The sequence below is a fragment of the Homo sapiens genome, chromosome 12 (assembly GCF_000001405.40).
Source record: "Homo sapiens chromosome 12, GRCh38.p14 Primary Assembly".
In the NCBI taxonomy this organism is placed as follows: domain Eukaryota; kingdom Metazoa; phylum Chordata; class Mammalia; order Primates; family Hominidae; genus Homo; species Homo sapiens.
This window is the reverse complement of record NC_000012.12, coordinates 89424937-89452861: the sequence shown is the minus strand read 5'-3', so window position 1 is coordinate 89452861 and position 27925 is coordinate 89424937. Positions and strand designations below refer to the sequence as shown.

At 39.2% G+C, this 27925-nt stretch overlaps 2 protein-coding genes and 1 long non-coding RNA gene across 14 annotated transcripts in view; 2 read left to right on the top strand and 1 right to left on the bottom strand.

The window, feature by feature from the left end:
• The window catches only part of POC1B-DUSP6 (POC1B-DUSP6 readthrough), a 177983-nt gene that overhangs the window by 73186 nt on the left and 76872 nt on the right, over window positions 1-27925 (top strand). The window lies entirely within an intron of this gene.
• Window positions 1-27925, top strand: part of POC1B (POC1 centriolar protein B) — a 124581-nt gene that overhangs the window by 73186 nt on the left and 23470 nt on the right. For 4 of the 7 annotated variants that reach the window (NR_037659.2, NR_037660.2, NM_172240.3 and 1 more), the window contains one exon: window positions 27483-27701. The exons of the other annotated variants lie outside the window; for them this stretch is intronic. Coding sequence is in view for 2 of the 4 variants with exons in the window: in NM_172240.3 (NP_758440.1) it covers window positions 27483-27701 (219 nt within the window). In the remaining 2 variants the exon portion in view is untranslated. The remainder of the gene's footprint in view (window positions 1-27482; window positions 27702-27925) is intronic. 7 annotated transcript variants of the gene reach the window in all.
• On the bottom strand, window positions 707-25080 carry LOC105369889 (uncharacterized). The gene is made up of 4 exons (NR_189732.1): window positions 24831-25080; window positions 12118-12281; window positions 1221-1335; window positions 707-805 (listed from the first exon to the last, which is right to left on the bottom strand). It is a non-coding gene; the product is annotated as an uncharacterized LOC105369889 (long non-coding RNA).

Below are 27925 nucleotides of genomic sequence, written 5' to 3'. Positions count from 1 at the left end.
AAAAAATAAATAAAACAACTAAAATGCTAAAGTGTTTTAGTTTGTTAAAGGAACGTGGTTTATTTTTTTTTCAAGATAGATAATCTGTATAGCTGTAAAGTTTACTAACAGTATCACCGTAATAAAAGATTAACAGTGAAAGCCAGAGGCTTCTTTTCCCCCCCTTCAAATAAAATATGCTTTTTAATAAAAATAGTAATAATCACTAAGTCCCAATTTTTTTAAGATATACTGACAAATATGCTAATTTGACCTTCTTTCTCTTTAAGTTTCAAAGTCACAAGGAAAGAAAACATATTAATGAATTTACCAAAAATTTGATACTCTTAAAGTTTTTAAAAATAGTCCTAGTTAAAGAATACTTTATGCAGTGAAACTTGTCCTTACTCCTATTGACAAACGTGATTTGGGACTTGAACTCTGCCGTATAAAATGTGAAGACAGAAAAAAAAAAGGAAAATTTACAAAAGGATTTATAAATCATGCTATTTGGGAGCCCAATAAATACTTTTTAGAATTTCCTTTAGAAAATTAGCACGTTTCTGGGAACTGGAGGTGTTCCAGGTATTATTTCTGCCTTCCAACTTGCTGAGATACTGTATTTCTAAACTGTGACGCCCCGGACTACTGCAGTAATACCGACTGTCCCGGGCCTGGGAATCTAAGCTGCATCCCCAGTTCCCACAGCTGAGACCGAGGCATGCTGAAAATGCCCGACAGCTCTCAGCCCACACATCCAGTAACAACTGGTTCCTTCCTCTTCCTGTGGAAGAGAAACATCCTCTGAGATGAGAAGAAATGCACCCTGAGGAATGCAAGAACAGCAGTGAGCTTTTCACACAGGAAATTACTACCGTAGCTCCCTGAAAAGTGCTTGTCTCCTGGACTGTCAGCCCATAATGAGCTTCCTGCTGACCTATAGGATGGTTTACTACGGAGCTAAATGCCATTTGTGGGGCTGTTGGAGCTTCACGGAAAATAGTGAACTTAGCTTTCAACTGTTCTGCACATCTATACCCATCTGGTTTTGAGTTATTTGGTGCTGCATAGATAGTGAAGCTATTGGCTTTGCTCCTTTATTTTGCCACTTGACAGTTAATTATTTGGTGAAAGTAGTCAGCAAGTCTGCTAACACATATTTTTCAGTCAGTTCTTCCTGCTTTATGCTGTCACACTATGTAAAACATATTATTAGGGCTTCTAAAGATTTAGAACCTTACCATCTCAGTGAACTGGTTATTAAGGCCCAGTGCTGGTCCCGGCCTAGTTCTTTCCATGTCTTTCAATTTCTTTGCTTTTACTTTCTGAGATTGTCAGGCCACACAATCATATATCCTGAAACATAAATAAAATTATGTTGCTTTCAGCCAACCAACCAACCAACTCATCACTTAAATGTCAAATTGACTTCAATTGACTTTTGCAATGGAAGATTTTTTTTAGTGTAATTTGATTTTCTATTTTTTGTGTTAATTCCTAGAGTATTTTGTTTTTCTTTTACTCAGGATCATGATGGCCACTACAAAGCTCATATTTTATATCATATGTACTTTTTAACCTACTTTCCAAATCACTACAGAATTTTGGTGGGCCTTAGTATTTATGGTGGCAACATTCTCATACTTTTTATGTATCTATTTGGATTATTTTTCTGAAGCACATAGAGTTGTTTGTTTTAAGTTGAAGGGGAGATAGAGAAGGAATGCCAGGCATTTCCTTTTCCTTTTCAGAATGTCTTTTTAATGAACATTCCTCTTTCCTCCTTGTGAACAAACCATCTCAGCTCTCAGCAAGGGAACTCTTGAGTGTCTAGTTTCTAATAATCCAATCTCTTGCCTTTGTTCCCCAACTCTAGGGAGCTAGTTTCATACATTTAATATCTCTGCTTACCTCAGAGCTCCCTTTTAGCATTTACAGACTTAGAAATCTGTTTAACCAGTTCCCTATATTAAATTCTCTCTGTTAAAATAATGGCTGTACTTTGTTTTTCTGCTGAACCCTGAGTGATACATAGTAAATCATCCTAAAGAAATAATAAGATATACATACAAAGATTTCTATTCAAGGATGCCTATTCCAATACTGTTTGTAATAACAACATCAACATGACAAAAACCTTTAAAGGTTTTCTATTTATTTTTAATTATTTAAAATGTTAAAAGCCTTAAAACAGCTTAATAAGCAAAAGATGTTATCAAGTTTATTTCATTTTTTAGTGACTTGTGAGTTTTGACGTGTTCATGATTGCTGTTTATTTGTATTTCTGAAGATTGTGTATTTGTGTACTTTGCCCATTTTCCTATTGTTCATTTTAAAATTGATCCTTAGGTAATTTTAATTAAGAAGATTGACCTTGGGCAGGGCGCGGTGGCTCACACCTGTAATCCCAACACTTTGGGAGGCCGAGGCAGGCAAATCACAAGATCAGGAGTTTGAGACCAGCCTGGCCAACATGGCGAAACCCTGTCTCTACTAAAAATATAAAAGTTAGCTGGGCATGGTGGTGGCTGCCTGTAATCCCAGCTACTTGAGAAACTAAAGCAGGAGAATTGCTTGAACCCTAGAGGCATAGGTTGCAGTGAGCCAAGATCGTGCCACTGCACTCCAGCCCAGGCGACAGTGCAAGACTCCATCTCAAAAAAAAAAAAAGAAGAAGATTTACCTCTTGCCATGTGCTACAAATATGTTTTCCTTTTTTCTCATTTCTCCTTGAATTTAGTTTCTGATTTTTGATAGGTTTAGCTGCATTACCTTTTTTAAAACTATTTTTTGTTGTTGTTTGGATTCTATGCAAAGAAATTCCCTCATCAATCCCCAAACATCTTAGCTACTCTTCTTGAGGTTTTATTTTTAATGATAAAACCTTAAAATCCATATGTATTAATTTAGGTATGAGGTACAGATTTATAGTTAACAAAGTACCCTCAATTTGTATTGTTTCACTGATTTGAATAACCTTCTTTAAACATTAAATTCATATGAACTTGTGTCTCTTTGGAGACTTTCTCTTCTGTCTTATTGCTCTGTTCTTGATCTATTTGTTCTTGATCCATTATCTGTTTGTTCTTGATCCATTATCATACCTTTTTAATCATTGTAGATTTAGAATATTTCTTTAAAATATTATATAATGTACAGTTTTTTCCTTCAAAACTTTCCTGGATGTTCTTGCCTATTACTTATCCATATGAATTTTAAAATTATTCTGTTTCAAAAAACCATCCCATTGGAATGTCGATTGCCATTGCACTAGATTTATAAAATAATTTGAGAATTGCCAACTTGCCAATTTGAGTTGCTTGTCTAGGAATGTAGTATTATATTTAGGGAATTGTTTCCCCTTTTTTCTTTCATTTATTTATTGTTTAATTGACATAAAATTGTATGTATTTCTTATGTATAACATGATGTTTTAAAGTATATATACATGTGGAATGGTTAAATGTAACTAATTTACAAATGTGTTACCTCAGTGTTTCAGTAAATCAATTTAGGAGCATTCTCATTTACATGCCTGTGGTTCCCATAAAAATAGCCACCATTTTTCACATACTACTAAACATTTTACTACTAAGCATGCATGTAGATTCTCACATTCCACAAATTAGCCTTAAAGGGGTAAGGTAACTTCCTCACAGACACACAGCAAGGAAATGATGGGGGCAAGCAAGGCTCCGATTAAACAACCTCAGAGGACAGACTGAACACCAGCACCAACCTGCCTTCCAGATGTTTAGACACACAGATCAGATGCCTTGCCACTTTGAATCCTGGTTTTAGCTTCCTTGTGGTCAGTATGATTTAACTTAAGTAAATGTTTTTTCACCATAATATAGTAGCCAAGGAGACCTGATGTATATCTCTGGTTGTGGGGAAAAAAACGGAAAGTACTGAGGACCTCCAGTTTGGGAGCAGGTGGAGAAATAGGCCCTTGAGTCAACCAATGTTTGTAAGTAACTGGTTGTGAAGGCTACTTTGGGAATTTAAGCATTGCCTATTCCTACTTGCCAAGTACATAAATCCTTGGCACACACCAGACTTCATCACACACAAGTCCTTAACTTAGTGTTAGAATGCTCATCAGGAAGAATTGTGTTTAAGACACACTTGTCTCTTACTGTTTATCCAGAAGGTGTGCCATATGGCATGCTCATCATAGGTTGTTCAAGCCTAATTGTGTGGATATAGCTTCCTGATATGAATAATTATTTGATCTGTCATGTCTTTAACTCTCTTTCATAATGATGTAATGGCTTTACCTCCCTTGGCAGGGCTTTGTTACTATTCACTGATTGCTCTCCCCAGGTTCTCACTTCTGCCCTGTCACTAATTTTCAGTTTTTGTCTGTCTGTTGAGAAAGGATATTCTCAGCAGTAGGAACTGTGTATGCAGAAATTTCCTTTGATGGTGTTATTGCCGTTCTGGTGTGTGCAGGTATTATTTTATTTTGGAATAGATGAGAACATCAGTTTTTATCAAATTTAGTTAGGGTGATTTTTATAAAGTGAATCCTATTTTAAATTGGCCTTTTGTTGCTGTTGTGTGGTTGGCTGGTTGGGTTTTGTTTGTTTTGTTGTTTTTTAAAATGGAGATGAGGTCTCGCCATGTTGTCCAGGTTTGTCTTGAACTCCTGAGTTCAAGCCATCCTCCAGCTTCAGCCTCCCAAAGGACTGAGATTACAGGCATGAACCACCATGCCCATCCTGACTTTTATTTTTAAACACAGCTATGCTTTCCTGGTAAATATCCTCAGTTAGTTGGGTTGGAAATCTTGGGGGCAAGGCTCAAAAGAAAGCCCAAGTCCGTGATACAAACTGTGTGGCTGTAGGCAGAATCCAGGCTATGTCTTCCAGTTTCTCTCTCTCTCTCTCTCTTAGTGTTCCTCAGGTCATGCGTTATCTATAGTTCCAGGAGGTCCAGTCGCTCCATGTTCAGGGCTCCTCAGACTCAGTTTGCCTCTCTTGGACTGATTATATCATAGAGCTGTATGTGTTACAGTATTAACACCTTGTCCCCATAGGTGGAACTTTCATAGGAATTTTGCTATTTACTTGGACACTTCTGCTTGAAGCTTTAGGTTCGTAAAATGAATTTGTGCCATACTTGGTCCATTCTCAAAGGTTGATAATATATAAAATAAATTTATTTTAAATGACATCTAGCATCAGGTAAAGTACCATGCTGAGTAAATATTATTCTTAATTCAGAACTATGCATTCTGGGGATAGCAATTTAATGAAATTTCAAGATGATAAATATTTAAAATAATTCCTTATTTTAAATAGAACTGGAAATGCATCATTAAGCTGAAGCAAAAACAATTGTATGCTTTGGAAAATCAGTTGAAATTTGAAGAATTTGACTAAGAAATATGCTCTCTCAGATTTGTACTTTTAGAAAATTTTGTGTACTTTTTGTACAGTTCCGTACACAGTAAAATTACTGAAAAAATTCAAGATATGTACACTTTTAGAAATTACTTTGTTCTTTCCTTTTCTAGAAATCACTTACATATTTCAATGTTCCGTGAATTATATATATAATAAACATATGACTGTCTTACATTTTGGGCACTGTGTATCAAAAGATCACATGAGAAACTTCAAACATGTCATATTATTTTTTTAAGTTACCATTTTTTAAATTGAGTATATTGATAAGTTTACCAAATAGTTACAATTGAGAAAAATAATTTTGATTTTAAAATAAACTATTGCTCACCTTAAATGTATTGAAAACTTTTGATTTAGAGAGCAGCAGTTTTCTCTAAGACGTTTTATTATTAATATTTAGTTAAGTGTTAAGATCTATTCATTTATCCTACAAAGTGCTATGACTATTTTTATGTATTTATTCATCAAGGAAAATGACAGTCACGGAGTTTATATCCCAAACTATGAGTATGTTTGTGAATATGTTTTGTTTATTTTTACTTTTTGCCTTGGTACCCTTTCCAGGCACTTCTCCCGGCAACAGTGGCATTGCTTCTGCCTGTCATATGTTTTTTGCAATTGAGCTCTTCCATTATGTTTCCCTATAACAACCTATTTCATGCACATGTTCTAGCTGTTTCATCCAGCAATTAATTTATATAATCTTTCCTATAGGTTTTTAGTCAAAATGTTTTTCTTTTTTTTTTTTAATTACACTTTAAGTTTGTTACATATGTACATGTGCCATGTTGGTGTGCTGCACCCATTAACTCGTCATTTACATTAGGTATATCTCCTAATGCTATCCCTCCCCACTTCCCCATCCCACGACAAGCCCCAGTGTGTGATGTTCCCCACCCTGTGTCCAAGTATTCTCATTGTTCAGTTCCCACCTATGAGTGAGAACATGCGGTGTTTGGTTTTCTGTCCTTGCAATAGTTTGCTGAGAATGATGGTTTCCACCTTCATCCACGTCCCTAAAAAGGACATGAACTCATCCTTTTTATGGCTGCATAGTATTCCATAGTGTATATGTGCCACATTTTCTTAATCCAGTCTATTGTTGTTGGACATTTGGGTTGGTTCCAAGTCTTTGTATTGTGAATAGTGCCGCAATAAACATATGTGTGCATGTGTCTTTATAGCAGCACAATTTATAGTCCTTTGGGTATATACCCAGTAATGGGATGGCTGGGTCAAATGGTATTTCTAGTTCTAGATCCTTGAGGAATCGCCACACTGTCTTCCACAATGGTTGAACTAGTTTACAGTCCCACCAACAGTGTAAAAGTGTTCCTATTTCTCCACATCCTCTCCAGCACCTGTTGTTTCCTGACTTTTTAATGATCGCCATTCTAACTGGTGTGAGATGGTATCTCATTGTGGTTTTGATTTCCATTTCTCTGACAGCCAGTGATGATGAGCATTTTTTCATGTGTCTGTTGGCTGCATAAATGTCTTCTTTTGAGAAGTGTCTGTTTATATCCTTTGCCCATTTTTTGATTGGGTTGTTTTTTTCTTGTAAATTTGTTTAAGTTCTTTGTAGATGCTGGATATTAGCCGTTTCTCAGATGGGTAGATTGTAAAAATTTTCTCCCATTCTTTAGGTTGCCTGTTCACTCTGATGGTAGTTTCTTTTGCTGTGCAGAAGCTTTTTAGTTTAATTAGATCCCATTTGTCAATTTTGGCTTTTGTTGCCATTGCTTTTGGTGTTTTAGACATGAAGTCCTTGCCCATGCCTATGTCCTGAATGGTATTGCCTAGGTTTTCTTCTAGGGTTTTTATGGTTTTAGGTGTAACATTTAAGTCTTTAATCCATCTTGAATTAATTTTTGTATAAGGTGTAAGGAAGGGATCCAGTTTCAGCTTTCTACATATGGCTAGCCAGTTTTCCCAGCACCATTTATTAAATAGGGAATCCTTTCCCCATTTCTTGTTTTTGTCAGGTTTATCAAAGATCAGATGGTGGTAGATGTGTGGTAGTATCTCTGAGGGCTCTGTTCTGTTCCATTGGTCTATATCTTCATTTTGGTACCAGTACCATGCTGTTTTGGTTCCTGTACCCTTGTAGTATAGTTTGAAGTCAGGTAGCATGATGCCTCCAGCTTTGTTCTTTTGGCTTAGGATTGTCTTGGCAATATGAGCTCTTTTTTGGTTCCATATGAACTTTAAAGTATTTTCTTCCAATTCTGTGAAGAAAGTCATTGGTAGCTTGATAGGAATGGCATTGAATCTATAAATTACCTTGGGCAGTATGGCCATTTTCACAATATTGATTCTTCCTATCCGTGAGCATGGAATGTTCTTCCATTTATTTGTGGCCTCTTTTATTTTGTTGAGCAGTGGTTTCTAGTTCTCCTTGAAGAGGTCCTTCACACCCCTTGTAAGTTGGATTCCTAAGTATTTTATTCTCTTTGAAGCAATTGTGAATGGGAATTCACTCATGATTTGGCTCTCTGTTTGTCTGTTATTGGTATATAGGAATGCTTGTGATTTTTGCACATTGATTTTGTATCCTGAGACTTTGCTGAAGTTGCTTATCAGCTTAAGGAGATTTTGGGCTGAGACGATGGGGTTTTCTAAATATACAATCATGTCACCTGCAAACAGGGACAATTTGACTTCCTCTTTTCCTAATTGAATACCCTTTATTTCTTTCTCCTGCCTGATTGACCTGGCCAGAACTTCCAACACTATGTTCAATTGGAGTGGTGAGAGAGGGCATCCCTGTCTTGTGCCAGTTTTCAAAGGGAATGCTTCCAGTTTTTGCCCATTCAGTATGATATTGGCTGTGGGTTTGTCATAAATAGTTCTTATTATTTTGAGATATGTCCCATCAATACGTAGTTTATTGAGAGTTTTTAGCAGGAAGTGCTGTTGAATTTTGTTGAAGGCCTTTTCTGCATCTATTGAGATAATTGTGTGGTTTTTGTCTTTGGTTCTGTTTATATGCTGGATTACGTTTATTGATTTGCATATGTTGAACCAGTCTTCCATCTGAGGGATGAAGCCAACTTGATCGTGGTGGATAAGCTTTTTGATGTGTTGCTGGATTCAGTTTGCCAGTATTTTATTGAGGATTTTTGCATCGCTGTTCATCAGGGATATTGGTCTAAAATATTCTTTTTTCGTTGTGTCTCTGCCAGGCTTTGGTATCAGGATGATGCTGTCCTCATAAAATGAGTTAGGGAGGATTCTCTCATTTTCTGTTGATTGGAATAGTTTCAGAAGGAATGGTACCAGCTCCTTTTTGTACCTCTGGTAGAATTCGGCTGTGAAACCGTTCTGGTCCTGGACTTTTTTTGGTTGGTAGGCTCTTAATTATTGCCTCAGTTTCAGAGCCTGTTATTGGTCTATTCAGGGGTTCAACTTCTTCCTAGTTTAGTCTTGGGAGGATGTATGTGTCCAGGAATTTATCCATTTCTTCTAGATTTTCTAGTTTCTTTGCATAGAAGTGTTTATGTTATTTTCTGATGGTAGTTTGTATTTCTGTGGGATTGGTGGTGATATCCCCTTTGTCATTTTTTATTGCATCTATTTGATTCTTCTCTCTTTTCTTCTTTATTAGTCTTGCTAGTGGTCTATCAATTTTGTGGATCTTTTCAAAAAACCAGCTCCTGGATTCATTGATTTTTTGAAGGGTTTTTTGTGTCTCTATCTCCTTCAGTTCTGCTCTGATCTTAGTTATTTCTTGCCTTCTGCTAGCTTTTGAATGTGTTTGCTCTTGCTTCTCTAGTTCTTTTAATTGTGATGTTAGGGTGTCAATTTTAGATCTTTCCTGCTTTCTCTTGTGGGCATTTAGTGCTATAAATTTCCCTCTACACACTGCTTTGAATGTGTCCCAGAGATTCTGGTATGTTGTGTCTTTGTTCTCATTGGTTTCAAAGAACATCTTTATTTCTGCCTTCATTTCGTTATGTACCCAGTAGTCATTCAGGAGCAGGTTGTTCAGTTTCCATGTAGTTGAGCGGTTTTGAGTGAGTTTCTTAATCCTGAGTTCTAGTTTGATTGCATTGTGGTCTGAGAGACAGTTTGTTATCATTTCTGTTCTTTTACATTTGCTGAGTTGTGCTTTACTTCCAACTATATGGTCAATTTTGGAATAAGTGCAATGTGGTGCTGAGAAAAATGTATATTCTGTTGATTTGGGGTGGAGAGTTCTATAGATGTCCATTAGGTCCACTTGGTGCAGAGCTGAGTTCAATTCCTGGATATCCTTGTTAACTTTCTGTCTTGTTGAACTGTCTAATGTTGACAGTGGGGTGTTAAAGTCTCCCATTATTATTGTGTGGGAATCTAAGTCTCTTTGTAAGTCTCTAAGGACTTGCTTTATGAATCTGGGTGCTCCTGCATTGGGTGCATATATATTTAGGATAGTTAGCTCTTCTTGTTGGATTGATCCCTTGACCATTATGTAATGGCCTTCTTTGTCTCTTTTGATCTTTGTTGGTTTAAAGTCTGTTTTATCAGAGACTAAGGTTGCAACCCCTGCTTTTTTTTGTTTTTCATTTTCTTGGTAGATCTTCCTCCATCTCTTTATTTTGAGCCTATTGTGTCTCTGCACATGAGATGGGTCTCCTGAATACAGCACACTGATGGGTCTTGACTCTTTATCCAATTTGCCAGTCTGTGTCTTTTAATTGGAGCATTTAGCCCATTTACATTGAAGGTTAATATTGTTATGTATGAATTGATCCTGTCATTATGATGTTAGCTGGTTATTTTGCTCATTAGTTGATGCAGTTCCTTCCTAGCATCAATGGTCTTTACAATTTGGCATGTTTTTGCAGTGGCTGGTACCGGTTGTTCCTTTCCATGTTTAGTGCTTCCTTCAGGAGCTCTTGTAAGGCAGGCCTGGTGGTGACAAAATCCCTCAGCATTGCTTGTCTGTAAAGGATTTTATTTTTCCTTCACTTATGAAGCTTAGTTTGGCTGGATATGAAATTCTGGGTTGAAAATTCTTTTCTTTAAGAATGTTGAATATTGGCCCCCACTCCCTTCTGGCTTGTAGAGTTTCTGCCGAGACATCTGCTGTTCGTCTGATGGGCTTCCCTTTGTGGGTAACCTGACCTTTCTCTCTGCCTGCCCTTAACATTTTTTCCTTCATTTCAACTTTGGTGAATCTGACAATTATGTATCTTGGAGTTGTTCTTCTTAAGGAGTATCTTTGTGGCGTTCTCTGTATTTCCTGAATTTGAATGTTGGCCTGCCTTGCTAGGTTGGGGAAGTTCTCCTGGATAATATCCTGAAGAGTGTTTTCCAAGTTGGTTCCATTCTCCCCATCACTTTCCGGTACACCAGTCAGACGTAGATTTGGTCTTTTCACATAGTCCCGTATTTCTTGGAGGCTTTGTTCATTTCTGTTTACTCTTTTTTCTCTAAACTTCTCGCTTCATTTCATTCATTTGATCTTCATCACTGATACCCTTTCTTCCACTTGATTGAATCAGCTACTGAAGCTTGTGCGTGCGTCACATGGTTCTCGTGCCGTGGTTTTCAGCTCTATCAGGTCATAAACGCTGTTTATTCTAGTTAGCCATTCGTCTAATCTTTTTTCAAGGTTTTTAACTTCTTTGCGATGGGTTCGAACATCTTTCTTTAGCTCAGAGAAGTTTGTTATTACCGATCATCTGAAGCCTTCTTCTCTCAACTTGTCAAAGTCATTCTCCATCCAGCTTTGTTCCGTTGCTGGCGAGGAGCTGCGTTCCTTTGGAGGAGAAGAGGCACTCTGATTTTTAGAATTTTCAGCTTTTCTGCTCTGGCTTCTCCCCATCTTTGTGGTTTTATCTACCTTTGGTCTTTGATGATGGTGACGTACACATGGGGTTTTGTTGTGGATGTCCTTTCTGTTTGTTAGGTTTCCTTCTAACAGTCAGGACCCTCAGCTGCAGGTCTGTTGGAGTTTGCTGGAGGTCCACTCCCGACCCTGTTTGCCTGGGTATCACCAGCAGAGGCTTCAGAACAGCAAATATTGCAGAACAGCAAATGTTGCTCCCTGATCCTTCCTCTGGAAGCTTCGTCTCAGAGGGGGACCCGGCCATATGAGGTGTCAGTCAGCCCCTACTGGGAGGTACCTCCCAGTTAGGCTACTCGGGGGTCAGGGACCCACTTGAGGAGGCAATCTGTCTGTTCTCAGATCTCAAACTCTGTGCTGGGAAAACCACTACTCTCTTCAAAGCTGTCAGACAGGGACGTTTAAGTCTGCAGAAGTTTCTGCTGCCTTTTGTTCAGCTATGCCCTGCCCCCAGAGGTGAAGTCTACAGAGGTGGGCAGGCCTCCTTGAGCTGTGGTGGGTTCCACCCTGTTCGAGCTTCCTGGCAACTTTGTTTATCTACTCAAGCCTCAGCAATGGCAGACGCCCCTCCCCCAGCCTTGCTGCTGCCTTGCAGTTCGATCTCAGACTGCTGTGCTAGCAGAGAGCAAGGCTCCATGGGCGTGGGACCCTCCAAGCCATGTGCAGGATATAATCTCCTGGTGTGCTGTTTGCTAAGACCATTGGAAAAGCGCAGTATTAGGGTGGGAGTGTCCTGATTTTCCAGGTACCATCTGTCATGGCTTCCCTTGGCTAGGAAAGGGAATTCCCTGACCCCATCGCCTGGGTGAGGCGATGCCCCGCCCTGCTTCGGCTCATGCTCTGTGGGCTGCACCCACTGTCCGACAAGCCCCAGTGAAATGAACCCAGTACCTCAGTTGGAAGTGCAGAAGTCACCCGTCTTCTGCGTTGCTCACGCTGGGAGCTGTAGACTGGAGCTGTTCCTATTTGGCCATCTTGGAACCTACTCTCCTCTAATTCTGTATTTTTAGTAGAGATGGGGTTTCTCCATATTGGTCAGGCTGAAAATTTTTTTCCTAAGTGTAAGGAGAAATGAATTTTAAGAGAATTTAAGCTGTTTTTTCTTAATGGGAAAAAAGTGAAAATGTACTAAAAATTTGTCTCTTTTCTTCCTACCTTCATCCTTCCCCCAGCCATTCCTCACACCAAGGTGGGATATTTGGATCTGACCATGGTAACTAGGATTTCCCTGTTTTCCTCAGACTTTTATGTACCTGGCATAAGAGAATTTGGTGCAGTGGTAGATACGTGGAGACTGGGGCCAACTAGCTTGTTAGAGTAGAAAGCCCAGTGCATGTAGAATCAATTACTCTTCTGTCCATATCTCTGCAGACCCCAAATGAGTGGAAGAAACAGAAAATTTTTCAGTGTGCTAACCAAAGATGAGCTGGATTTCCATGGGAGCTGAATTTAGGGTAGTGCATCTTGTGGTGTTAGCATCATGAAGGGAAATGACTCAGCTTAAGTCACGTTCAATGGACATTGTTCATTCATTTCACAAAAATGAACGTGTCGGACACTAGGTAGGAGCTGGGGATGGGGGATGCATGTGGGTTATAACGGTAAGCAAAAACTGTGAAAGTATGAATGTTAGTACAGTGAAAGTATGAATTGAAGGCAGTAATGTGTGGGATCAGAGAGAGTTTTCCTGGAAAAGGTATTTGAGCTGAGATCTAAAACCTTGCTACTCAAGGCCGGGCACAGTGGCTCATGCCTGTAATCCCAGCACTTTGCGAGGCTGAGGCAGGTGAATCACCTGAGGTCAGGAGTTCAAGACCAGCCTGGCCAAATGGCAAAACCCCATCTCTACTAAAAATACAAAAAAATTAGCCAGGCATGGTTGTACATGCATGTAATCCCAGCTACTCAGGAGGCTGAGGCAGGAGAATCACTTGAACCCAGGAGGCAGAGTTGCAGTGAGCCAAGATCATGCCACTTCACTCCAGCCTGGGCAATAGAGTGAGACTCTGTCTCAAAAAATAAATAAATAAAACAAAATAAAATAAAACTTTGCTACTCAAAATATGATTCATGGACAGTGTGCTTGAGCATCACCTAAGAGTTTAGTAGAAATCCAGATTCACAGGTCCCACCCCAGACCTACCAAATCAGACCCTGCATTTTAATAAGATCCCCAGGTGATTTGTGTGTGCATTAAAGTTTGAGAAGTGCTGATCTGAAGCATCAGTAGGAGTTGAAGTGAAAGGTTGGGAGAACTGGAATGTTCTAGGCAGAGGACGAATATATACAAAGGCTGTGTCTGTGGGGGAGCTTGTGTTACTTTAGGACCTGTAAAAAAAAGTCTGGGACCCAGAGATGGAGTGGGGCAAGGTGTTATGTGAGCCAAGCTTAGAGAGGATCATAGGAATCAGGCATGCAGGCGTTTTCATGATTTTGCCATTTGTAGCTTGAAAACAAGCTTCCTGCCAGTTGAAGAGACACATGGAAACCAGTTAAAAGAAAAAGTCAGTAGTCCAGACAAAAACTGAAGGTAGCTGGGATTAGGATCATCTTAGTGGAAGTCAAGAGAATGGAATTCGTTTGAGAGATATGTAAGCAGGGGTAAGAAGTGGGTTAGCAAAGATAATCCCTGGGTTTTTAGCTTATACAATGATGTGCCATTCATTGAAGTAGGGTATTTCCTAAGGGGACAAATTTGCGATTTCAAGTTCCGGTTTGGACATACCGAGTTTGACGTTCCTTTGAAACCTCCAGGAGTACCTATCAGACATGCAGTTGTGTACACATATCTGTAGCTTAAAGGAAAGGTCTAGAGTGGAAAGAAGAATAAGTGAGTATTCTGCATGTATGTGGTAACTGAAGCAGCAACCATAGATACAACTGCCTGAGTAGAAAGTATAGAATTAGAAGAGGGTTTGGGACTATTCCCTGAGGAATTTTAATAAAATGATCTGATGAAAGATGATAAGCCTGCAAATAAGGCAGAGAAGGACTAGTAGGTAACAAGGAAGCCAAAGAGTATGGTGTCATGGCAGCCAAGGAAGGATAGTTTCAAGAGGACGATGGAGTCAGCATTGCCAAAAGTCCAGAGAAAGTTTGAAAAATGTTTGATAATTTGGTGGAGATTATTGCTAACCTTTTGAAGAGCTTTTTGTTTGTTTGTTTGTTTGTTTGTTTTTGAGACGGAGTCTCGCTCTTTCACCCAGGCGGGCGTGCAGTGGCGCTATCACGGCTCACTGCAAGCTCCGCCTCCCGGCTTCACGCCATTCTCCTGCCTCAGCCTCCTGAGTAGCTGGGACTACAGGTGCCCGCCACCGCACCCAGCTAATTTTTTGTATTTTTAGTAGAGACGGGGTTTCACCGTGTTAGCCAGGATGGTCTCGATCTTCTGACCTCGTGATCCGCCCGCCTCGGCCTCCCAAAGTGCTGGGATTACAGGCGTGAGCCACCGCGCCCGGCCTGAAGAGCTTTTTTAATGGAGTAATACAGATGCGAACCAGTATGAAGGGAGTAGAAAAGTGAGTAGAGGGAAGGGTGAGAAAAGGAGTAAGCTATAATAGATTTTTTAATTTTTTTTTTTTTTTTGAGACGGTTTCTCACTCTGTCGCCCAGGCTGGAGTGCAGTGGCACAATGTCGGCTCACTGCAACCTCCGCCTCCCAGGTTTGAGCAAGCAATTCTCCTGCCTCAGCCTCTGGAGTAGCTGGAACTGCAGGCCACACCAACACTCCCTGCTAATTTTTGTATTTTTAGTCGAGATGGGGTTTCACCATGTTGGCCAGGCTGGTCTCAAACTCCTGACCTCAGGTGATCCACCCGTCTCGGCCTCCCAAAGTGCTGGGGTTACAGGCGTGAGCCACTGCACCTGGCCAATTTTTAAAATCTTATTTAGTAAATTTATTGAGTACCTGTTATATACCAAGCAATGAGAATGTACAAATGAAAGAGCAAGTTCAATAATAATGATATGGGCCTAAATTGCTATGGGGGTAATTAGTGGAGTGTTTAAATAAAGAAACTATATGGTGGGGGTGGGGGGGTCAAATATGTACCCGGAGAATTTGAGTGGAAGACAGAAAAGTTACAGATACAGCTTCCCAAAAGTGAGTGATACTTGAGCTGATTCTTTAAAAATTTGCCTGATAATAAGAGGAACGAGGACAGCTCAGAAAGTACAAGTCAAGAAGCCCTGAGAGGGGAGTGAATTCAGGAAACCGGACATTTCAGGTTTGCCTCAGCATTGCATGAGTTTGAGGAACAAGAAAAGATGAGGATGGATTGTGAATGATCTCGAATGTGTTTTGAAGGTTTTTGGAGGTATTTGGATTCACCCTAAGAATTGGGGGGACCAGTGAAGGATTTTCAGCCAGGAGAGTGACAAAAGCAAATTTGGATTTTAGAACAGTTACTCTGGAGATGTGAAAAAGGAGGGGTTGGAGGGAGATAAAACTAGAGGCATGGAGGATTAGGAGGCTATTGTAATAGTAATCCAGACATGAGGTGACAACTGTCTGATCGAGTGCTGTAGCATAGGGGATGAAGAGAGGAGACTGGCTCATGAGGTATTGAAGAGAGTCAATAAGTTCTGTTTACTGATTGTACATGGGAGAAGAGGGAAGAGTCAAGAATATCTCTCAAATTTTTGGCTGCTGGCTGGATAATGGCACTGTTTATTAGGACAGGAAGAGACAGGAGTTGGGTGTGGAGCATCCAGTACAGAAATCTGGATTTGAGAATCTTGACTTGATTGATTCAGACACTTGGTCCCACAGGGTGACCCGTAAACTGCTGCTCCATAGTATTCGATAATGATTATGATAAAGAGATGATCTACATTAATTGCACCTCATTTATCAAGAGGCATCATTAAAAGAATGCTTGTTTTTTTTGTTTTTTGGGTTTTTTTTTGGTTGTTTTTTTTTTGAGATTGAGTCTTGCTCCATCGCCCAAGCTGGAATACAGTATAGCGATCTCGGCTCACTGCAACCTCCGTCTCCCAGGTTCAAGTGATTCTTCTGCCTCAGCCTCCCAAATAGCTGGGACTACAGGCACATGCCACCAAGCCCAGCTAATTTTTGTATTTTTAGTAGAGATGGGGTTTTGCCATGTTGGCCAGGCTGGTCTCAAACTTCTGACCTGAGGTCATCCACCCATCTCAGCCTCCCAAAGTGCTGGGATTACAGGCATGAGCCATTGTGCCCAGCAAAGAATGCTTATTTGAATCATGCTGGTTATTTGGTAAATTCTGAGACTGAAATTTTAAATGGATAAAGCCCATCATGTTTAATGGCTATGAAACATAACGGGTTTTGTTTCGTATAAAGTATGTCATAATGTAGTGACATGCTTTAGTGGTATCATGACTTCCTCTTTAAAAACTTCCTGCGGTCGTGCACGGTGTCTTGTGCCTGTAATCCCAGCACTTTGGAAGGCCGAGATGGGTGGATCACAAGGTCAAGAGATCAAGAGATCAAGACCATCCTGGCCAACATGGTGAAACCCCATCTCTACTAAAAATAGAAAAATTAGCTGGGAATGGTGGTGTGCACCTGTAGTCTCAGCTACTCAGGAGGCTGAGGCAAGAGAATCGCTTGAACCTGGGAGGCAGAGGTTGTGGTGAGTCGAGATCGTGCCACTACATTCCAGCCTGGCGACATAGTGAGATTCTGTCTCAAAAAAAAAAAACAAACAAACAAGAAAAAAACTTCCTGCTTACTCATCTGTGTGTATGTTCATACACACACATGCATATGCGTGTTTGAGAAAAGATATATTATCATAATTCTTCATCATTCTGATTATAAAGTAAAAGAATCTAGCTCATATTCTCTTTGACTCATGGCATCTATGAAAAGTATTTTTGAATTTTATGGTTAAATTTGAATGTTATTTTTGGTGGGCCATTTTTCCCCATGGTAATTATAGGAAAAAAAATCTTTCTATGTAAACATAGCCATTGTTTTTATTATCTTTGCTTTCTGAGTTTCTTCCACCAGCAAAATAAGAAAGGAGGAAAACACCTACATGATTTTACACGTGAAAATATATGGAGGAAAAATATTTAAACTGCATCATGTTATCATAGAATCTTATTTTTTGTTATTTATGATGAAGGATTTGATACTCTACTCATAAGCAATTTAAGAATGCTATTGTGGCTGGGCACGGTGGTTCACGCCTATAGTCCCACCACTTTGGGAAGCCAAGGCAGGTGGATCACCTTAGGTCAGGAGTTTGAGACTAGCCTGACCAATATGGTGAAACCCTGTCTCTACTAAAAATACAAAAACTAGCTGGGTGTGGTGGTGTGCACCTGTAGTCCCAGCTACTCAGGAGGCTGAGACAAGAGAATTTCTTGAACCCAGGAGGCGGAGGTTGCAGTGAGCCGAGATGGCACCACTGCACTCCAGCCTGGGCAACAAAGTGAGACTCCATCTCAAAAAAAAAAAAAAAAAAAGAATGTCATTCTTCCTGGAGATTTTTATGCCACAGTTTTTCAACTGTATCCAGTTATATAATCTTTATCATAGGGTTAAATATTTTTTATTAATTTCATAGATCTAATTGTTTGATGTTAGATTGGCTTCCTATATTATTGTTAGGAAATCATTTTTCATCCAGTAAAACAATGGAACTAGATTTTTAAAATAGATGATAGATCTTTGTCTGCTAAGTTTTTTTAGAAAAAATATTAAATACATTTTTCACTCAGCTGCCTGAAAATGAAAATCTTTTATCCCTTTTAAAACTACATCTGAAAATATCTTATTTTTTTCTTTGGGGTTTGTTGAACAGTGTGAAAGATAACTATAGATCTTTGCCTTATTCACTTAGCATGTTGTGTAAAAGATTCTTGTTGAATTTGTTATGGAACAGATAATGAGGATGGATCCCTTACTCTGAATGCCCTTCAAAGTGTAATGGCACAGTTCACAAAAGAAGTAATGGCTACTTGTTTTCCCTTTTGAGTTTGCAGGAAATTTTATGCAGAAAGTTGGTGTTATGTTCATTTGGAGTATCATTAATTAAGATCCATCTGGTGCAGTGCACTTTTAGATCAGCATACAGCATTAGGAAGTAGATCCTCCTTTGAGGAATTAATGGTTTGTGTTTTCTTAATCATATAAGAAGTGAAACATAGAAGGAAATTTTTATACAGATTCCATTTGTCCTAGCTGTATACTACCCATTAATGGCTTCAAAATTAATAGGTTTCTCTAGAGATTATAATAAAGATTAAAGACAAAGACAGACAGTAGACTTGTAGCCTCAGCTGTCTTTTCCGAGGTGACTGAATTAATCATTTGGATATTTCAGTTGATAGCTACATGGTATATTTTTCAAGTCTTCTGATAAAAATGCAATTTCCAATTTGCTCTCAAGAAGAAAAAGCAAAGTCCTCTATAAAATCTTATCCCCAAAGCTGAAGGTTCTTTCTTTGAGAAAAAGATGTATGTTTTCTCCTGAGGGACAAACAAGTCTTAATTCAGCAAATTTAGTTTGGAGGACAAAATTTCACATGACATTTTTTGATTATATCCTAGTCATACTTTTAAGTCAATCAGACTTGATCAGATGAGTATGTTCCTACAAGGATACATAATCCACTGTTCAGAAGACAGAAAATTGTCATTTTTTCCTTCAGGATCAACAGCCTATGTTTTCAAGAATGTTAAGAATTGAAAATGAATTCTTTGTTGTGGTCCTGTGACAGCCCCATCTGGGTGAGTCTGCAGTTCCTTTTTCTGTTTCCCTAATGGATCCATCCACTCCTTAGTCAACATTGGCTTTTGATCTTAAGAAACGAACCAAATTTAGAGCAAAACTCTGAGTCACTTCTGAAAGGCAGCCATCCTCTTTGTCAAGATTCTCAGATGAACTCTGTGACTATCCGAGTCCTTTGTGCTGATGGCAAACTTAGTGTAAAGCCTCCCACTCTTTGGCCAACACTCTTCTAGTCCTCCCATTTTGGTAATTCGTCAGCCCCAGAAAGGCGTCCATCCAGCAAGCCTCCTGCTTTACACTGCCTGCTCCCTGTGTCTGGGCCTCCTTTACCCAACTTACATTCTGTGGTCCATCATTACATCCATGGTCTTGTCCCTTTCTCCCTCTGTTATCCTCACCTAGAAAAATGCCAACCTGGGTTAAATCTGTTTCTCTGGCTCCTTCACACCTACACCCAAGGGGCTGGATTTGACTAGACAGCCATCTTGGCTCGTCTCACCATAAATTTATTTACACAAAGCTCCATGGGCACTCAGCCACTGTCTATCCAGCCCATTTATCGAGTAGTTATCCCCTCACTCTCCTGTGTCATCAGTGCTCTCTTTATGCTTGCTCTTTCTATCAGCACACATTTGTGATATATTTCTCATCTTTATAAATGAAAACCTCATTTGGCCCCTCATCCCTTTCCAGCTCCTGTCTCATTGCTCTTCTCCCATTTATAGCAAAAGTCTTCTAAAAAAAATTGTTGCTTAGATTCACTGTCTTTATTTCTTCACTTTGCATTCTTCTGAGTGCTATCCAATCAAGCATTCATCCCCACTCTTCCATTCATGTCAGGGTCCGAAGGACTCATCTCGGTCCACCTGTGTGTGGCACTTGATCCTGGTGATCACTGTTTCCTCCTGGAAGCTCTTTCCTCACTTGACTTCTGGGCCAGTAGTCTTCAACCTCAAGGGCCACCAGTCACCTTTCCTGCTCCTGCCTTCTAAAGTCTCTGCAACTCTTCTCTTGTTTGGCTCCTTCCTAGTGATCATAGACCCATGGATAAAAAGATCTACGTGCCAGTAACTCCCAAATTTATATTTCTAGACCCAGCTTCTCCACAGAAATCTAGAATCATATATTTCCAATTGTATTAATGACTGTTCCCCTTGAAAGTCTGATAGGCCTCTCAAACATAACACGTCCAAAATTTATTCTTTACCACTTCTCCATAAAATTTGCATCAGCATAGCTACATCATAACACAGCACATTGCTTAGCTTTATTTTTCTTCCTAACCCTTGTCACCTAGCATTACATCACATATCTACATATTTACTTTTCTCCTTCACCCACTAGAGTATAACCATGATAGCAGGGCCTCTTTATTCACTCCTTGAGGTAGGCAGAACAACCATTCCTCTCAAAAATATTTATGTCTTCATCCCCAGAATCTATGAAAATGTTTCCTTACATGGCAAAGAGGGCTTTGCCAATGTGATTAAGTTAAGGCTTTTTTTTTTTTTTTTTTTTTTTTTTTTTTAAGAAACAGAGTCTCGTTGCCCAGGCTGGAAGTACAGTGGCTCGATCTGGGCTCACTGCAACCTCCACCTCCCAGGTTCAAGTGATTGTCCTGCCTCAGCCTCCTGAGTAGCTGGGACTACGGGTGCATGCCGCAACACCTGGCTAATTTCTTTTGTATTTTAGTAGAGACAGGGTTTCACCGTGTTGCCCAGGCTGGTCTCAAACTCTTGAGCTCAGGCAATCCGCCCACCTCGACCTCCCAAAGTGCTAGGATTACAGGCATGAGCCACCATGCCCGGCCAAGTTAAGGCTCTTGAGATGGGGAGGTTATCCTGGATTATCTGACCGGGCCCCATATAATCACAAGGGTCCTTATACGGAAAGAGGGATTCATGAGAATTAGAGAAGATATAACAATTAAAGCAGTTATTGGAGTGATGCAGCCATGGGCTAAGGAATGTGGACAGCCTCTAGAAGCTGGAAAGGCAAGGAATGGATTCTCTCCTAGAGCCTTCAGAAGGAATGCAGCTTACTGACACCTTGTTTTTAGCCCCGTTAATCCTGTTTTGGACTTGCAATCTCCAAAACTATAAGATAATAAATCTATGTTGTTTTAAACCACTAAGTTTGTGGTAATTTGTTACAGCAGCAGTAGGAAATGAACACAGTCCTGTATCTCTGGCACCTGGAATTTTGCCTGGCACATAGGTGCTAAATAAAATAATTTTGCTTGAACAATTGGCATATATTCATTATCTTAGATCTTATGTAGAGATTATTGAAGTTTCCAATCCCTACTCTAAATTTTATCATTGAAAATAAATGATATAGTCTTTCTTTGAAAAATATTTGCTTTTATTTTTGTCCAAGGCAAAAGGCTTTTTTTGTTGTTATTCTAGTCTATTTCAGGCAGACGTTTTATACATACGTGTGTGTGTGCATGTGCGTGTGTGTGTGTGTGTGTGTGTAGTGATTTAAAAATCTCAGAACATCAGGAATAAAAAGGGCTTTAAAAGGCATTCAATTGAATTTCCTGATTTGATGTTTGTATATCTTTCACAATATCTCTGACAAATGACCTTCCCAAGTCTATTTTAGAACCTTCAATAATGGGAAACACTTTGGCTTAGATATTTTCTGCCTTTTATCTGTTTTCTTCTCTACTTACAGAATTAAACCAAGAGTAGAAATGTTAGTTGTAAACCAAAACTAACTTATTTTAACCAACTGATTGAATGTATATCTAAAGTTCAAGTCACTGATTATCTTTACATGTGAAATGCCTACTTTTGCACTCACATTTGTTAGAAAAATCCATCTGTTATTCAGCCAGAAGCTATCAAGTATGCCTTTAGGGGATAAAAATCTACCAGTGATTTGAAGTTAGATAATATATGCTTACATTGCTTCCTCACTGTACCTCTGAGAAGGCATTTAAGATTGTAATTTTTAATAGAAAATGGCATTAGTTTAACTTTGGGGGGTAATATTTCTCTTCAAATACTATCAAATTGCTAATATTTAATTTTTTGTGATTGGCTCAGCTGATGCAGGACAGTCCATTAAATTCAGTTCAACCAATGTGGAGCTTTGTCTGTGTCTCATGTGCTATGCCAAGCACCTGAGATGATAAAGTTACTGACCCCACATGAGGGGTTCATAATCTAATGGGGAATACGGATATGTAAACACAAATATAATAAGGAGTGAGAAATCCTCTACTGATGGCACGAAGTCTTGTGGGAGTGAAATGGCACTAGTGATTAATTCTGACTCGCCAGCCCAGAGGGTGGGTGGTGGAAAGGGTGGTGGTAGAAGGAGAGAAGAGGAAAGGAGGAAGGGGAGTAGATATAATGTATGAACTTTCGCACGTAGTTGAGCACCACAGTATCTTGAATATTCCTTTGTTAATTATGTAAATAATAATAGTTTAGATGTGTGGACCATGGTTATGTTGTTGAATGGTTAATTTTCTAATAAAAATGTGTTTGGCAATGCGAAAATTTTCAGTTTTCATTGATGCATTAAAATAATTCATCCTCAAAAATAAGTGACAAATGAAGATGTATGCATTAGAATTAACCATGGTATTTAAAGAACCTTTTAAGAGTCATTTGTCCCCAGGATGTGATATGTTTTGTATTCAGTTCTCAGGACTTTCGTAGTTCTTTGCATCAGTCAGATCTGTATCTTTTACTCCATTTCATTTGTTCAGGTGAAAAGTGAGTCCTTTTGACCTATATAGATAAGGATTTCTCAGCCCTTAGATTCATTCTTTGCCCTTGGTGAGGCTGCATTTCCCATCTTCAAGATGGCAACCATGGGGTTATCCAAAGAAGAACTTAAGAATAGTGATTGCCCTGCCATCCTTTTTGATAAAGTACTTCCCCAGAGTATTGTAAGCTCCATGAAGGAAGATACCATGTCTGACTTGTTCTTTGCTATAGCTCTAATGCCTACCATAGGAGGTCCTTATTTGTAGGATCAATCAATGATTGTATTACTATTGCTTCACTGTATCACACAATGTTAGCAATAGAAGTAAGAGGTGGGAAATGAGAACATGATATAATTTCTTCTTTTTATGAACTACCAAAGCATTTGTTTTTTCTGCAGTCTTGCAATCATGTGTTTGCTTATGTTCTGTCTGCTTGTTTATTTCCTGCTCATTCAGCAGTGCCAGAGATGAGCCAGGCATTGTGGGGGATTTGGGCCCTGCCTGGTCTGAATTCTCTCATCGCAACAGGGAATCCTTGAGAGCGGGCATCATACCATACGTACATTTATCATTGTATGATAGTATGTATAGATAGATGCTCAGTAAGTATTTACTCAGAACTGAATATTAGCACCTTTGAAATAGGAGAGTATCTCAATGTGCTGAGAGAAGCAGGTACTACAGACTCACTTGCTGGACTTCTATCAGCCAGGAATCTTAAACACCATGTTTTTCCCTTTGTACCTTTTTAAAAAATACTTATGAATGGAATGTATTGAACCTCCCCCATGCTGTGCATCTCACTTTTCTCCTGTACAAACAGGATGTAAAGACAGGGTTAGTTGGTAGAAAGCTATCTGCTAATACCTAGGTTTCAATACCTTTGAGAGACAAAGAGAGATGTCAGTTGGCTAATGTTGTAGGATGGAGAGCTGGCACCCTTTTTTCTCTCTGCACATATGCTTTTCCCTTTTTTCTTTCATTTCCATATGTCATATGATAATAATATATTTTTTGCTTGTGCCAAACAAGAAAACCTATTGGAGCTCTTTTATTGCTTAGATTGTCTATGGTCTTAAATCATCTTTGCCAATTTTCCTATTGTCCTTTCTATACTAACGACCTTGACTGCAAACCTCCAGAGTTCAATGAATGATTGGGGCCTTTTTCCAAGAAGGTCTGAAGCTGTTATTACAATATGATTAATAATATTTGTGGCCATGTATGTACATACTTAGATATGTTGTGATCCATATTTTTTCAAAAAAACTGTCTTGGTTATAGATAATTTGGTTTCCACCTGTGAGAGCAATAATAAAATCTGCATACAGCCGGGCTCAGTGGCTCACTCCTGTAATCCCAGCACTTTGGGAGGCCGAGGCGGGCAGATCACGAGGTCAGGAGATCGAGACCATCCTGGCTAACATGGTGAAACCCCGTCTCTACTGAAAATACAAAAAAGTAGCTGGAGGTGGTGGTGGGCACCTGTAGTCCCAGCTACTCGGGAGGCTGAGGCAGGAGAATGGTGTGAACCCAGGAAGCAGAGCTTGCAGTGAGCTGAGATTGCGCCACTGCACTCCAGCCTGGGCAACAGAATGAGACTCCATCTCAAAAAAAAAAATCTGTATACAAGTGGTTAACATTTTCTAAAATATTCAAGCTTCTGCTAAGTACTAGAAATGATCCAAGGGATACAGTGATGAGAAGAGTAAACATAGTAGTCTAGTGAGGGAGACAGACAATAGACAAGCAGCAAATACATAAATACAAATTCTGGTCAGTTACAGAGGAAAGCATCAGGATGCCATGCTGGAGAATGAAAGGTCCAGCTTCAGTAGGGTAGTCAGGGCAGGGACTGCATTTCTGAAGATGGGACAGTTAAGCTGAAATTTGGAGGTCAAGAAGGATGCAGTCATGCTAGGATGGCAGAGAAAGCCATTGCAGGCAGAGCAGAAGCAATGTTTTTTGTTTGTTTGTTGGTTTGTTTTTTAAAGCCTGTTCTTTGAGCAGGAACTATTTGTTTGGGGGTGAGGATGGTTGTGGAGCATGGACATCCATATTTTGTTCCCAGTGAATGAGGTCTAGGATCAGGAATGTAGACTATGATCATGAGTCAAGATTTCTTAGAGAATCCTTTGTATTTCCATACTCACCTCTACAGTGCTCCCATTTTAGTCCTTGCTGTCAGCTCAGTAGCTGCAGACCCATGTAGATAAGTGCTGTATGTTGTCTTCCTAGTTCCTTTAGCTCAGAGCATGAATAGGTGGTTGGTCCATAGATGCTTCTAAGTATGACTGAATAGCATTAAAAATCCTTTATGTTAACTTGATCTTTCAGAATCTGTGATTGTTAGGAGCCTTTCTTCTGGACGTTTTCAGTACAGTTTTAGCTTTTCTCTGTCATAAGGAGTTGAGTAACTCGAAGTGATACTAATAGGATCGTTTTGAGGATGTGGTTTTGTTTTGTTTTGTTTTGTTTTTAAGAGACAGAGTTTCTCACTCTGTAGCCCAGGCTGGAGTGCAGTGGTGCCATCATAGCTCACTGCAGCCTCAAACTCTTGGGCTCAAGCCATTCTCCAGCCTCAGCCTCCTGAGTAGCTAGAACTACAGGCACACACTAGCATGCCTGTCTAAGTTTTTTATTTTTTTATTTTTTGTAGAGATGGGGTCTCCTTATGTTGCCCAGGCTGATCTCAAACTCTTGGCCTCAAGCAATCCTCCCATTTTCGTCTCTTAACACTTTGGGATTACAGGCATGAACCACTATGCCCTGCCCTTTATGATCCATTTTGAGTTAATTTTGTAGATGGTGTGAGGTAGAGACCCAAATTCATTGTTTTGAATGTGGATATTGGGTTTTCCTCACGCCATTTGTTAAAAAGATAATTCTTTCCAGATTAAATTGTCTTGGCAACCTTGTCAAAAATCAACTGACCATAAATGGAAGGGTTTATTTCTGCACTCTCAGTTTTGTTTCTTTGATTTATATGTCTATTCTTATGTCAGTGCCACACTGTCTTAATTACTATAGTTTTACAATAAGTTTGGAAATTTGGAAGTATGAGTCCTTCACATTTTTTTCATCAATATTATTTTAGCTGTTATGGGTTTCTTGCATTTCCATATGAGTTTTAGGATCAGCTTATCAACCTCTGCAAAAAAGACAAATGGGATTTTGATAGGGTTTGCACTGAATCTGCATATCAATGTGGGGAGTATTGCCATCTTAATAATATTAAGGTTTTTGATTCATAAATTTGGGATATGGGATGTTTATTTGTTTAGATCTTTTATTTCTTTCAATGATGGTTTGTATAATAGTTTCCAGTACACAAGTCTTACATTTCTTTTTTTTTTTTTTTGAAACATGGCCTTGGTCTGTCACCCAGGCTGGAGTAAAGTGGCGTGATCTTGGCTCACTGCAACGTCTGTCTCCCAGGTTCAAGTGATTCTTTTGCCTCAGCCTCCCAAGTAGCTGGGATTACAGGCGTGTACCACCACACCTGGCTAATTTTTGTATTTTTAGTAGAGACTTTCACCATGTTGGCCAGGCTGGTCTCAAACTCCTGGCCTCAGGTGATCCGCCCACCTTGGCCTCCCAAAGTGCTGGGATTACAGGCTTGAGCCACCACACCCAGCCTTACATTTCTTTTGTTAACTTTTTTCATAAATATTTTTTATGCTATTCCATTGTAAATGGAATTATTTTCTTAATTTTATTTTTGGATTGTTCATTGCCATATGGAGGACTTTCTGTTTTTCTCTTGTGGTAACATATACATAATGTAAAATTTATCATTTTAACCATTCTTAAGTATACAATTCACTGGCATTAAGTATATTCACAGTATTCAGTGTTTTATAACCATCATCACTATCTATTTCCAGAATTTTGTCATCATTCCAAGTAGAAACTCTGTACTCATTGAGCAATAACTCCCCATTACCCCTACCTCCAGCCCCTGGTAACCTCTACTGTACTTTTTGTCTCTAGGAATTTACCTATTCTAGGCACCTCATATAAGTGCAGTCACATAGTCTTTGTCCTTTTGTGTCTGGCTCATTTTACTTAGCATGTTTTCAAGATGTATCCATGTTATAACATGTATCAGAATTCCATTCCTTTTTATGGCTGAATTATATTTCATTGTATGTTTATACCACATTTTGTGTATACGTTCATCTATCGTTGTTTCTAGCTTTTGGCTATTGTGAATAATGTTGCTATGAACATTGCTGTACAAGTATCCAGTTGAGTCCCTGCTTTCAGAGTTCTCCTGGATGTATACGTAGGAGTAGAATTGCTGGATCATATGGTAATTTTATGTTTAATTTTGGGGGTAACTAACAGCCAAACTATTTTCCAAAGCAGCTGAACCATTTTACATTCCTACTAGCAATGGACAAGTGTTTCAGTTTCTCCACATTCTCACCAACACTTGTTATTTTTCATTTTTTTGATAATAGTCACCCTAATAGATGTGAATATTGTTTTTAAATTAAGAATTAAACTGCATCTAACAATCTTTTTAATGGTAGATCCCTCAGATCAGTGTATGGAAAGTGTGTTTCATTGAAAAGAAAGTCAAGGAAATTGTCTCTATTCACTGTTAGCTTTGTTTCCTTATTATAAGAATTATAATAATTCCTTATTTAATTATAGTAATTTCCATAACTTATTATAGTTGGGGATAAATCTTCAATGTAAGCCTGGGCTTTTTAGAAGAGGAATATTTTAAACTTTTATATATATCATTTTAAAGTTTGGAAAATATAACTCTTCCTACATTTTCTGTGACATTAAAGACAACAGAAACCAGTGGTAGGACTCTGCCAGACAAGGGTGAAGAGGCCTGTGGATATTTCTTGAACCCTTCCTTAATGTCACCAGAATGTTTGCCAACAACCACGAAAAAGAAAACAGAAGACATGAGTGACCTCCCCTGTGAAAGTCAAAGGAGCATACCTCTCGCTGTGACTGATGCTTTAGAGCATATTATGGAACAACTCAATGTTTTGACACAGGTGGGCATGACACAGGTTGCATGAGTTGCACTTGGGGGTAAAATACACAAAACAATTCTGGATACAGCAAGTTGCAGAACTAGCAGAGCAGGGGAGATTTCTCTATACTAGCAAAGCAAACTCAAGGTGGCAATGCCCTAAACAAGATCTTGTAGAGATAAGCTCAGAGCCTATGCATTTGTGTGCACACGTGCACACACACACACACTCACACAGCTTAAGCC